This window comes from Homo sapiens, chromosome 17 (assembly GCF_000001405.40).
Source record: "Homo sapiens chromosome 17, GRCh38.p14 Primary Assembly".
NCBI classification, from domain to species: Eukaryota; Metazoa; Chordata; class Mammalia; order Primates; family Hominidae; genus Homo; species Homo sapiens.
In genome coordinates this window covers 78,058,646-78,072,919 of record NC_000017.11, presented here as the reverse complement: position 1 = coordinate 78,072,919, position 14,274 = coordinate 78,058,646, and the positions used below count along the sequence as shown (strand labels likewise).

Genomic DNA, 14,274 nt, shown 5'->3' with positions numbered 1-14,274 from the left:
CATTTCTTCACTGTTGAGGTTAGAGACAATGTCTTTTGAATTAAAAATACTTGTAATAAGAAAATGTACTGACTTGATTTTCAAAGTAAAGCCCTTGTATTTAACACTTTGGAAACAAAATGCAGAGTGGCAGTAAAACCTTGTAAGTACTCCTAAAATCATTTTCATTTTTTTAAAATGTAACTATTAGTATTATTTTTGTAGAGATATGTTCTCTCCATGTTGCCCTGGCTGGTCTCAAACTCCTGGGCTCAAGTGGTTCTCCTGCCTTGGGCTCCCAAAGTGTTGGGATTACAGGTGTGAGCCACTGTGTCTGGTCCTAAAATCATTCTGTACAACACTGAGTAGCAATGATTCCATAAAGGTGCAATCTATGCCAAGACAGCAGGGCCACAGACAAGGACACCTGCCATGAGGACAGGATGCTCTCCTAGGACAGGATTCCTGTCCCAGTGAGGCCCATCTCCATGTCTCTCTCTAGTCCCAGCAACTATGTCAGTCACTGTCGGAGTGCAGAGCTGCATTTTTCGCTTCATCAACTCTAGGCTCCACCATCAACAACTTTTCTCTAAGAAACAGAAAAACAAAACAAGTAGATTCATTTTGATAATTTATGACTGGAACACAGTAATCTCAGGGGATGACTGAAGCCGCTAGGGTGCCATGATAACTGAGACAGTATAAATCAGGACACGCTGAAGCCACCGTCAACCTCTTGCCCACTCACACAGGCAGAGCCTGGGCCACCAACACAATGCCCTGCCCAATACAGAGGGCCTGTGCCCAGTGTGAAGGATGGGGTTCCTCCGCTACATGGAGGCCATTCTGGACTCATTCTTTTAGAAGCATCTACGGTAACTGAAAGATAAACACTAATTTGAATAAGGATTTTGAAAGAAGTCCCATGAAGCGAATACATGGCGAATATGGGCGACATCCCTTGCCATCTGAACTGCCATCCAATCTCAGGAATTGAACAGACTGTGGTATTTTCAGGGGAACGCCCTACAATTATGAATTCTCCCTACGTATGACTGGAAACTTAGGAACTAAGTAGGTCTGGTTAGGATACTTTTTCTGGATATGAAACCTTAGTACTTTACATCAAGTTTTCTTTTGTGATCTCTGTCAATATACTCTATACACTAATGAAATTCACGTTTAATTATAAATTAAAAGTAAACATAAAACTGTATAAACCAATGAAAATTAAAAATCACACAGCATTTTCCGGCTGGGCGTAGTGACTCATGCCTGTAATCCCAGCACTTTGGGAGGCCGAGGCGGGCAGATCGCTTGAGCCCAGGTGTTCGAGACCAGCCTGGCCAACACAGTGAAGCCTCGTCTCTACCAAAAATACAAAAATTAGCCGAGCATGGTGGCTCACGCCTGTAGTCCCAGCTCTACTCGGGAGGCCGAGACAGGAGGACTGCTTGATCACACCACTGCACTGCAGCCTAGGTGCCAGAGCAAGACCCTGTCTCCAAAAAAAAAAAGCATTTTCTATTCTAGGAAAAGGCTCTCACACCCTTTTTGATAGAAATTGTGTGGGTCTTTGCTGTAGTTCAAAGCAATGATCTCTAACCCAAACTACCCAGGTAAAAGGGAGATTTAAGAGTTAGATGATGTCAATATCTCATTCCTCAAACAATCTTGGTGTCTTCTGACACACATAACAAACATGGAGAGGAAACAATGAGGGCATTTCATTTTGGGAAGCATGGTGGGTAGCAGTAAACTACGACGCCAGTTACCGGGAAGCCCATGTCTGTGAGTTGTTTGATCAGCCGGCTCATGATCCAGGCCTCATCCTGCTTGCCAGACGTCTTCATGCCCTTGAACAAAGTGTGGGAAAGGGGGAAGTCCATGAGCTACATTTTAATGCATTTCTACCAGAAATGGGAGACAGCCTAAATTCAGGGTCATTTAAAAGTCACAGGATCTTTTTGTATTAACATTGAATAATGCTGTATTCCAGAAACTCCCTAACAGTATTTCGTGGCTACTGCTACGGAAAGCATCAAGGTACATTTGCAGGTTGGTATATATGTGCAATTTATGAACTTAAAGCAAGATAATTATTTCTCTTTCCCAGATAATTAATTTAGTTTATCACAAATATAGACTACTTTTACTATCCAATAATCCTAAGCGCTCCCTTGAACACAGCCCTATGTGAAGTTTACTAAAAATTACACTTTTTGCCTTTTCTAAGCTTTATTCTGAAAAATGATAAAATGAGGGGGTTTATTCCAATGAGTAAAGAGGCAGCAAGAAGAAAGGATGAAACAACCTGTTAATTTTATTAACTATTTGTTACTTATAGCTCATAGGGTAGAGAAAAGGAATAAGGAGGAAAATGTCAGTGAAGGAGAGGATGAGGAAAAAGGTCAGCTACAGAAAGAGCAGTGGGGGTGGGGGAGGGCTCGGCACCACAGAAGAGCCAGGAGGCTTCTCAATAACTTCCCTCTGAGCCTATAAATGCAAAGGTTCTAATGATGCATTATTACAATATGAAAAAAATTCCCTTCCAAAAATATTCTTCATAGTGTTTTTCACAATTGAGCCTGCCACAGCTATATCATGGAGCATATGGAGCTCTATAAACAGGCTTTCTTTCCTCAAGGAACTAGCTTATTTTGGGGCTATTTCAATCATTACTATGCTGCCAGAGCCAGATTAGTCAAGATTTTAATTTACCAATTTGCTATTTTTGGTCCCATCATTAACTGGATTATTTGCCAGCCCAACTGTAAAAAGGATTCTTTTTGATGTCTGTAATCACTTCTACTCCTCATGAGCGGAGAGCTCTGATTTTAGTTTCTGGTTTCTGCTGATTATTAACTGAATGCTTTTATAAACTATATTTTTTTGAACATGAATACATTCACACGATTCAAAAGTATAAACAAGGTATAAAGAAAGTTTTCATCTCATGCCACCCCATTTGCTTAGTTCCTGTTCTCTCGAAGAGGCACTACTCATAGCAGTTTCTTATTTGCCCTTCCAGAGAATTTAGAACATTCTGTAGAAGCTGATACACTACGTGTGCATGCATGCATACACACACTCACATACACACACACACGTTTTCTTCCTCCTACCCCACAAAATAGGGTGTGTGCTGTACATGTTTTTCTGCACCTTGCTTTTAATTTAACAATGTACTTTAGTGATCTTTTCATATCAATACATAGATAGAATTTCCTTTTAGTTCTGTATAATGTAGAAGTGACATAATTAACTTGTTACTCCATCAATGTACACATAAATTATTGTTATCTTTTTACTACAAAAATGCTGCAATACAAAACTGTATAAATGCCACAAAGTGAGACTCTGTCTCTACAGAAAAAATAAAAAATAAAATTAGTTGGGCAGAGTGGCATGCACCTGTAGACCCAGCTACTCAGGAGGCTGAGGCAGGAGGACAATTCGAGCCCAGGAGTTCAAGGTTGTACTCCAGCCCCTAAGGTGACACAGCAAGACTCTGTCTCTAAAAAAATTTTTTTAAATAAAAAAATCAAAACGCTGGCTTTCTGTGGGTCTGAGAGATGAAAAATGGCAGGTGTCTCTGAGTGCTGTCTGGAACTGCACTGCCTTCCTGTGAGTCCGTGTCTAGGAGCCACTGGTGCTCCTTCTCTGTGGACCAGCTACTCTTCACATTCTGTGCTCCTTTTTCTACTGGGTTTCTGGCTGATTTTTTTTTTAAATCAGTTTCTAGGACTTTATGTATCAGGGGATTGGCCCTCTCTATGATATGAGTTATAAACATATTTTTCCAGTTTGCTATTTTTCTTTTGACTTTGATTATGGTATTTTCTGTCATGTACAGTTTTTACATTTATCTATTGACACAAAAAAATTTTATTTTATGGCTTTTAGATTTTGGTCATAGTTAGGCCTCTCTGAGTCCAAAATTGTTTTTAATGTTCTTTCATGTTTTCATATTTTTAATATTTAAGTTTGTGACCTACTTGAAATTCAGTCATGCTGAATGTGGACTGAATTGGGCAGTCATCTAGAAAAAAATGAGATACACGTCTCATGTAGCTCATGTATATATGAGATGTGTATCTCAGTGTTTTCTAGATGACCGCACATTTGTGTCTTTTTTTTTGAGAGGGAGTCTCGCTCTGTCGCCCAGGCTGGAGTGCAGTGAGGCGATCTTGGCTCACTGCAACTGCAACCTCCGCCTCCCAGGTTTAAGCAATTCTCTTGCCTCAGCCTCCCGAGTAGCTGGGATTACAGGCACCCACCACCACGCCCAGCTAGTTTTTGTATTTTTAGTAGAGATGGGGTTTCACCATGTTGGCCAGGCTGGACTTGAACTCCTGACCTCAAGTGATCCACCCACTTTGGCCTCCCAAAGTGCCGGGATTACAGGTGTGAGCCACTGTGCCCTGCCTGCCCATCTGTTTTAAGACTTCTTAACCATCTGTCTCAAACTTTTTGGTCTCAGGACCCTATAATACTCTCTTAGAGACTGAAGATCCCAAAGAACTTCTGTTGACATGAGTTGTGTCTATTGCTATTTACTGTATTAGAAATTAAAACTGAGAAAATTTAAAAATATAATTTTGCTTAAAAATAATAGTCACTACACATTAACCTAACATTTTAAAATAAAAAGTAATTAATTTTTCATGAGAAGGGTGGCACTGTTTTGCCTTTTGGCAAATCTCTATGTCTGGCTTAAGAGAAATGGCTGGATTTTCATGCCTGTTTCTGCACATTCTCTGCTACAATAAAGTTCTCTGGACACCTCTACCCTATACCGGAGAGAGACTTCAAATGAAAAAGACAGTCTTAGTACTGGCATGATAATAGTTGTGACCTTGCTTACTCCCCTGAAAGGGTCTCTGGGACCTCCAAGGGTCCTAAGACTACTTTGAGAACCTCAGGTCTATCTTTTTGTCTGATTAACTGGATACTGAATGTGTCTGAAGTACCTTTGGTTTTCAGGGTGTACCGTCGTTAAGAGTGTTGTACTTACCTTTTGAAGTCCTTTTTTGGGGGCGTTCCCCCAGGAGCTGCAGGAGGAGGTGCTTTCTTGGGAAGCAGCATTATTCCACACGTCCCCTTCTTCATCCTCCCACTGGCTGGTACTGAGGTTCATTTCATCCCCACCACTGCCCCAGCCTTCTTGCATAGATTTTGAAGCTAGAAACAGAGCAAACATGAACTTATCAAATTCATGTCCCTAACGCAGACAATGCTTCCACTGTAACATATAATTTAGGGGTCGTGGGACAAATGATGCATTGTAATCTACCTTTTTATGCCTTCATTTCTCCCAGATCTCAGAATTGAATTTCTCTTGCTACATATGTAAATAAACATGTATATGTATATAATTTTTCCTTCAAACATCAGCTATTTGTACTCTGTGCTGTTCTAAACTTCCTTAACCAACTACACATCATTCTGAAACATAAACATGCTAAGAACAAATCCTGGGGCCACCAGGGAAGGTGGCAATCTCTACATGGTATGAAAAGGCTACAGAAATGTAGATTCCTAAAACATTTCATTGTCCTGTGTGGTTTTTAAAATTTGTAGGTTTTTTTCTTTTTTTTGAAACAGGGTCTTGCTCTGTTGCCCGGATTATAGTAGTGCAATCACAGCTCACTGCAACCTCAAACTCCTGGGCTCAAGTGATCCTCCTGCCTCAGCCTCTCAAGTAGCTAGGACTACAGGCATGTGCCACCACATCCAGCTAATTTTTTTTTTCTTTTTAATAGAGATGGGGTCTCACTATGTTGCCCAGGCTGGTCTCAAACTCTTGGGCTCAAGTAGTCCTCCTGCCTCGGCATCCCAAAGTGTTGGGATTACAGTCATGAGCCATCACAAGTGGCAGGAAAATTTGTATATGGGATGCTTCATAAATCTGTATCTCATCCTTGCATAGGAACCACGCGAATCTTCTCTGTATTGTTCCAATTTTAGTACATGTGCTGCTGAAATGAGCATCTCTGTCTGATTCTTAATCACTGCTTGATCCAAACCTATGAGCATTAAGTCACACAGACCAGAGCTTCTCAAACCTGTCCACTCGTGACAGTCAGCTGGATCATGTGAAGTCTGGCAGGCCTGAGGTTGGGCCCGACAGGCTGCATTTCTAACAAGCCCGCAGGAGATGCTTACAGACTAGCAGGATGGAGGCCTTAGGCAGATGGAGCTACAAAGTGACTATCGAGTTTCCACTTCAGATATTGTTTTTTCCTCCTATCTTAAAATACAAAGTGATTTTCGGTATCAAAATTACCCCAAATTTTCACTTCTTGGAAGAATATGAAGAAGGGCAAAGACTAGGTAAGAGCACAGTTAGCTGGGTCTTCAATGAAGATACAAGGCTGATAAACATATGGAATAGGCACATAACTGTGCCTCCAAGGACAAATTCTCAAAATAGAATGCTCAAAATGGCGCATGAATCTAAATACTCACAAGTTCCCTTATCCTTTAGGTTTGTAAAAAAAAGTAATATAAATGGAATACTTTGAGCAGAGTGGTGGCTATATGGAACATACTATCGAGTATTAGCAAAACAAAAAACAAAAAAAACCAAAAAAAACCACAAAGTACAAAACCAATAAAGTTGCATTTTAAGATCTAGGACATCTAATAATGTCCAAAGAAAAGATGAAGCTTCTGCAGTTATGTGAACAACGAATTTTTTTTTTTTTTTTTGAGATGGAGTCTCTGTCTCCCAGGCTACAGTGCAGTGGCCTGATCTTGGCTCACTGCAACCTCTGCCTCCCGGGTTCAAGCGATTCTCCTGCCTCAGCCTCCTGAGTAGCTGGGATTAGAGGCGCTCATCACTATGTCCAGCTAATTTTTGTATTTTTAGTAGAGATGGGGTTTCACCTTGTTGGCCAGGCTGGTTTCGAACTCCTGACCTCAGGTGGTCCACCCACCTTGGCCTCCCAAAGTGCTGAGATTACAGGCGTGAGCTACCATGCCCAGCCACAATTAATTTTAATATCAGATTTAAATCAGTAATCTTATACTCATGTTAATATTACAAATATCACATTGCAAAACACCCATATAAGAATTCCACTTGGTATACATAATCTGGACATTTATAAGGATACTTATTACCTGCATATTTGCTACACTTTCAGAAAATGGGAGGAAAATGTACCTTTTTAAAATTTTTTCAAGTTGTTTAGGCATAAACAACTTTAAAACAAACATGGCAAATTCCACCCAGTGGAATTCTGTTGACAAGATGAAAGCAGGGCAATACGGCAAGATGCGTTAGGCTGCTGTGAGGTAATACATATTTTCAAAAACTAATCTCAAGGAGATGACATGTTTTATCTATCTTGCTCAGTGAAATAGCAGGTTTAAATTACTTAATGTGGCAGGTACAAGAATACTGCTGAAGTAGTGTGGGTATTACCAGGAGAATCAAACATAATATGCGGGGTTGCTTTGACTTTTGCATTTATTTGTATTATTATAAAAGGAGGGTATGGACATCTCTTAAAAGCTCCTTTGTGTTCATGTATCAGGCATGGCAAATATTTTATAATCTTGGCTTTTTTTTTTTCCTTTTTAAAGAGATGGGGTCTTGCTCTATTGCTCAGGCTCATGAGTGGTACAGTCATGGCTCAGGGCAGTCTTAACCTCCCGGGCTCAAGCAATTCTCCCACCATAGCCTCCCGAATAGCTGGGATTACAGGCATGTGCCACCATGCCTGGCTAATTTTTCAATTTTTTTTTGTAGTGACAAGGTCTCACTATGCTGCCTAGGCTGGTCTCAAACTCCTGCGCTCAAGCGATCCTCCTGCCCTGGACTCCCAAAGTGCTGGGATTATAGGTGTGAGGCACTGTGCTTGGCCAAGACTCTTGGTTTGTAGTTAAAGTGTAAATATAATGAGGAAAGTATCCTAAAACTCTAATCTTTAAAATTCAATACTTTGAGTCATTTCCAAATTGCCAGATCAGGGCAAGCAGGATGCTAGGCTTACCTGGTTTGCACAGGGCTGAGGCAGCAACAGGTGCGCCAGCTCTTCCAAATGCCACCGGCGGCTCTGCAGGGTGATCTCCCCACCCGCTGCCACTGCTGGGTGGCTTCCCCCATGCTGCTGTGCCATTATCCACCAGGGTAGAAGGGGAGGATGGTTCTCCCCAAGAGTTTTCAGTCTTTGAGTGAACATTAGGCATTTCTCCCCAGCCTGATGAAACTGAAAAAGGTTCCAAGGGGTAGAGAAAATAATGAAAGTGCATCAGAGAAAAGCAAAAATATAATTCAGTTTTCAATTTCAAAATAATTTCAAGATAATCTATCCTTAGAATAGCCTTTAGTAGAAAATTTAAAGGAGGCAAATGTATTACATGTAATCAGATTTGTTTAGCTTTGTATTTTAAAATTTTTATTCATTTATTTTTATTTAGAGATGGGGACTCGCTGTGTTGCCCAGGCTGCCCTCAACTCCTGGGCTCACTCAATCCTCCTAAGTAGCTGGGACTACTGGGGCGTGTCACTGCACATGGCTTGTTTGGCTTCTTAAAACTGGTCAGATGCGGTGGCTCATGCCTGTAATTCCAGCACTTTGGGAGTCAGGTGGATTACTTAAGGTCAGGAGTTCGAGACCAGTCTGGCCAACATGGTGAAACCCTGTCACTACTAAAAATACAAAAATTTAGCTGGGTATGGTGGCGTGCACTTGTAATCCGAGCTATTGGGGAGGCTGAGGCAGGAGAATCTCTTGAACCCGGGAACCAAGTGGTTAAGTTTTACGAAGTCCTAAGTTATACTTTGGTAACCCGGGAGGCAGAGGTTGCAGTGAGCCAAGATTGTGCCACTGCACTCTAGCCTGGGCGACAGAGCAAGAATCTGTCTCAAAACATGAAAAAATAAAAAATTGCCATTTTCTAACTCCTGCCCTCTACCTATTTTCAACTTTAAAAGTCCATTAAACATTAAAGCCTATTCAATTGTCAGCATTTGCAACATAGTAGGGTTTAAAAGAATAGTTTAAAACTATGGTTAAATAGCTTGTTTACATCTTGTATTATATGTAATGACATAAAAGAAATCATTCTAAGAAAAATTTGTGAGTTGCAAATATATACTGAAATATTATTCTTGTTTATCTTTTGACCATCATAGACACAGATCACCTTATCTGGGCAAAGAAATGAGAAGATGGCAGATTAAAAACATAAAGGTAAAGTCATAACTGGAAAATGCAGACAGTTTCTATGGTACCACCCACAAGCTGAGAGAGATCTGAGGTATCTGTCTTAGAAGGCAGAAGAGAGTTGAATTATGGATCAGAGTAGTTCCTACAGGTACTCTGGGAGGGTTTTTCAGGAACCCTTTCATTCCTTTGCCAAGTCCTGTTGCAACAGCATCCTCAGGGATTGGTCCCTTGTGGAAACAGGTTAGAGATGCATATAGAATCACAGGTGACCCTTGACAACACGGGTGTGAACTTCAGTGATCCATTTATACAAATTTTCTTCCACCTCCACCACCCCAGAGACAGCAAGACCAAGCCCTCCCCTTCCTCCTCAGCCTGCTCCTCAACATGAAGATGATGAGGATGAAGACCTTTATGATGATCCAATTCCACCTAATGAATAGTAAGTGTACTTTCTCCTTACAATTAAAATTATACATATATATATATTATTTATATATATATATATATTTTGGAGACAGAGTCTTGCTCTGTTGCCCAGGCTGGAGTGCAGTAGCACAATCTTGGCTCACTGCAACCACCGCCTCCCGGGTTAAGGGGTTCTCATGCCTCAGTCTCCTGAGTAGCTGGGACTACAGGCACGCAACAACATGCTCGGCTAATTTTTGAATTTTTAGTAAGGACAGGGTTTCACCATGTTGGCCAGGCTGGTCTCGAACTCCTGACCTCAAGTGATCCCCCCGCTTCAGCCTCCCAAAGTGCTGGGATTACAGATGTGAGTTACCGTACCCAGTCTTTACAATTTTCTTAATAATGTCTTCTGTTCTCTAGCTTATCTTATTGTATAAAACTCTGAAGGCATAAAAAGTATGTGTTAACTGACTGCTATCAATAAGGCTTCTGGTCAAGTAGTTAAGTTTTTGGGAAGTCCTAAGTTATACTTTTGGTAACCCTAATCCCAAACTGTTCAAGGGCCAACTGCATTATCTACAGGCACAGAAGAGGTTATGAAACCAGGCAATAAGAAGGATTTCCCCACGCCCTTCACACTTCAGTACAAAAAACATTTTATATTGCATAGGTCAATTTTATTTTTCCAAATAAACTCAAATTCTAATCTTTTGCTTCTGCCATAAGCTCACCTGACACTGTTGATATGTTGACAGCTTGTATCAGTTGTAATTTTCATATAGATACATTTTGCTCAGACAGAAATATAAATATTTTAAGTCATAACTGTAGCAAGCATGTGACTGTGTGCAAGAGAAAAACTTACAGTATAAAATGCAAATAGTTAACCATCAATTTTACATTGTTTGGCCTCAACATGGATATTACAATATCAATTACAAAATGTATTAATTTTCTGACTAAAAATAGCATGGAATCAGTTCCCTTGATACTCTTATTCTAAGAAAATGCAGTAAGAATGATTAATAACAAAAGGACACGCAACCTAAAAATCATTTTAAATTACAAGCTCTATGCTGAGGAATATATTATGCAAATAGTTACCAATAACAGGGGAGTTAGTCCTAACCAGTTATCGCCAGCAATTGCTAACTATAATATTACCTTTAATTACACAAAAGACAATAATATATATTGGGAGAAGTAGTTTTACAAATTGAAAGGACAAAATTAAATCAGAGACGTTAACATAGCTAATAAAAATTATCAAGGTTTTAGTAAGCTAAAATAACTCATGTGTTGCTAAAGACCAATTAGCTATAAAAATACTAATTTACTGTAGGTAATTAAATAATGAACTCACCTAGAATTTGTTTATCATCTCTAGACCTCCATCTCTTTGAGAAGGCAATAGGTATTACAAATTATTTAATTAAGTCAAAACTAAGGATAAATACTAAGATTGTGGTAAGCATAGTTCATTGATTTTTATAAAGAATTTAAAATTCCTCTTAAAGGCAGGAGAAATGTCTAGTAAGTATTTTCATGGAGAAGGCAAACGACTTGCAAGCATCATGTTTCAAAATCTTAGAAATGGAAGAACACTTGCTTACTCAAAAAAATTAAAAAACCAAATATTTCCATTTTGATATTTATTTAATAGAGATGGGGTCTTGTTACGTTGCCTGGGCTGAAGTGCAGTGGCTGTTCTTAAGTGTGATCATAGTGCGCTGCAGCCTCGAACTCCTAGATTCAAGCGATCCTCCTGCTTCTGAGTAGCTGAGATTACAGATGCCTGCCCCCACACCTGGCCCAGTATTTTCATTTTCAGTTGAATCTGGCAAGACTATAATTTACCTACAATGCCATCCTAACAGAAACACTAGGATGTACCATCTGACACTCTAAAGGTTCTAGAAGAGATGCTAAAAACTGAAATGCAATAGAAAATTTTGATGCAAAACAAGTATTTTCAGCACACAGAAAATGATTTTAAGTACATAGAATTAAAATAATCTCCACTGTTAAGTGTTTATCATCAGAGTGAATTTGGCATCTTTTTGTTAATAATTTATAGGGATTCTTTTAAAGTTAGAATTGATGAGGTAGAACAAATTTCTTACATTTAAAATACTGATATTAAACTTTTAAAAATGATCCTTCAAATACTACTGCTTTTTGCAGAATATTTCCGTACTATGGGGTCTTAGAATCGTTACCTCCCTTCAATTTCTTCAAATTAACAAACAGAGATGGGGATAATAAAACACAGCCAGGATATGTAGTTTTCATTCAATTTTAAAATATACATTCTTCATCTTTCCTTCAGAATGGAGAAAACAGAGTGCATCTGGAAGCTGGGTATAAAAATGAGCAGCAGACAGAGAAAAGGCCAAGAAATAGGACCAAGAAACAGAGAATCTTTCTCTCACTGAACATTGTTAAGCACATCACATCTTAAGCACTACAGATAATTAAGTCAGTGGATGAAATTCTTTCCTCTATGAAATAAGAAATTAATTATAGCTTGTTCCACAGATGCCACTTACATAGCTTTATAAGTGTGATGGGCAGTCCTTTTTGGGAGGAAAGTTTTAGTTAAAAGGTGGCCAATTGTAATTAATTAAGAGTATATGATAAAGGACTAGGCCAGGCATGGTGGCTCACTTGAGGTGGATCACTTGAGGCCAGGAGTTTGAGACCAGCCTAGCCAACATGGTGGCACACACCTGTAGTAGTACCCACTACTCAGGAGGCTGAGGCACCAGAATTGCTTGACCCTGGGAGGCAGAGGTTGCAGTGAGCTGAGATCGTGCCACTGCACTCCAGCCTGGGCGACAGAGTTAAGACTCTGTCTCAAAAAAAAAAAAAAAAAAAAAGATAAACGATTAAAAATGCAATCGATCAGGCATTTATTGAGTGCTTGCTATGTGCTTGGCTTTTTAAGGTACTGACCTAAATATTAATGAGATGAGATTTTTTACTCATACCAACGGCCTTTAAACTTAATGCAAATTTACTATGATGGCTGGTTGGGTACTTGCTTATGGAGGAACAGAGCAGAATTGATAGCTGTAAGATCAATAAAACTTTCTTATCTGAAATCAAGATGGGTCTTTGTACAATGAAACTTTATATAGAAGAGTTTGCTCATTATACAAGAGTACAGTCAGATGGCAAAGTATCCTACTTTTCTGAAAGCCTTTGTGGTGGGCATTTGACACTTCCATTCCAAAGTCAGGGGACTCTGTTTGAGGGTTACAGATTCGGGGTCCCTTCTAGAAACTGACCACGGGCCTTGAGCTGCACAGTAACTTCCCTTAGAACAGCTTCTTCTGCCTGCCTTATTGAGTCATCATGTGAAGTATTAGAAAAGGAAAACCATCTTATACAGTTTTGATTTCACGATACTAATACAGATTTTAATGGGCTAACTCTTTCCTACTGCTATCGGTGGCGGGGGGCACACTATATTTTCTTTTTCTTTTTTTTTTTTTTTTTGAGACAGGGTCTCCTGTTGTCCAGGATGGAGTGTGGTGGTGCAACCACAGCTCACTGCAGCCTTCACCTCCCTGGGCTCTGGTGATCCTCCTGCCTCAGCCTCTTGAGTAGCCGGGACTAGAGGCGTGTGCCACTATGCCCAGCTAATTTTTGTATTTTTTGTAGAGACGTGGGTCTCACTAGGTTGCCCAGGTTGTTCTCAAACTCCAGGGTTCAAGCAACCCACCTGGCTCAGCCTCCCAAAGTGCTGGGATTACAGGCGTGAGCCACTGTGTCCGGCCTCACACTGTATTTTCAACTGTCTTCATCATTTATCTATTTTGAATTGAAGGTACCTAAAGCTAAGGCCTTTGCATGTGGGGTTCACACGTCTCACGCCACGGACTTGCACTGAGAAGCATCTCTTCCTACTTCCGTAGCAGGCTCCCAACTCCCCAGTCCTTGCTGAAGTCCAGCCCCACTTACCAAACCCCTCAAACACAGGAAAGCAAAAACAACCCAGCCAAATCCAAACCCAAGAAAAATCCCACATCCACAAAAAGCACAGATCACTCAGATAATTTCTCTTTTAGTAACTACTGCATAGTGCTTAAAATAGAATTACTTCTGGCTGCAGAGGTCAATGGGATCTATTTCCGAAGTTATGTGAAAACAGCTGAGCTGTAACAGGATCTTGCTGATTCACTCCATCTGCAGGTGACTGTCTTTTGGTGTAGTTTTTATACTAAAGAATGATAAACTTCCTAGGACAGGAGTCTGGAAGGAAGGCCACTGCTCTCTGGCTTCTGCTGCTAATGAGACTTATAGAAACAATACACGTCTCATCTTTTTAGGTAGAAGCTTCCTAAATCTAATTTTTTCCAAGTTTTAGTTTAGTGAATTGGAGATATGCCTCTTCCATGATTAATGCACACAACCTCTGGTTTTATATTTTATAAGATGATAATTGTTTCAGAAAACTAAGTTTTAAAGCAAATATCACCAGATTAAGTACCCACATGCAAAGTAAAGTGTGCCTCTGGCTAGAGCCTTTGCCGACTTGTAGGAGCCCACAGTGGTCACCACCAGCACAGCTGGAATCCCTGCTATGGCTGAGATACATCTCTGAAGAGCTGCAAATAGGCAGCAAAATGAACACACAACAAATTCTAGACTAAGATCAGTATTAGCAGTATACTGCCTGCCAGTTTTCTGATTGGCA

At 40.1% G+C, this 14,274-nt stretch overlaps 1 protein-coding gene and 2 pseudogenes across 21 annotated transcripts in view; 1 reads left to right on the top strand and 2 right to left on the bottom strand.

Annotated features, from left to right (window-relative positions):
- The window catches only part of TNRC6C (trinucleotide repeat containing adaptor 6C), a 151,279-nt gene that overhangs the window by 35,916 nt on the left and 101,089 nt on the right, over window positions 1-14,274 (bottom strand). For all 21 annotated transcript variants that reach the window (NM_001395512.1, NM_001395509.1, NM_001142640.2 and 18 more), the window contains 3 exons: window positions 7,983-8,198; window positions 4,997-5,163; window positions 1,755-1,835 (listed from right to left, as the gene is read on the bottom strand). In NM_001395512.1, coding sequence (NP_001382441.1) covers window positions 1,755-1,835; window positions 4,997-5,163; window positions 7,983-8,198 — 464 coding nt within the window. The remainder of the gene's footprint in view (window positions 1-1,754; window positions 1,836-4,996; window positions 5,164-7,982; window positions 8,199-14,274) is intronic.
- Window positions 5,867-5,973, bottom strand: RNU6-625P (RNA, U6 small nuclear 625, pseudogene; annotated as a pseudogene).
- UBE2V2P2 (ubiquitin conjugating enzyme E2 V2 pseudogene 2) lies at window positions 6,273-6,655 on the top strand (annotated as a pseudogene).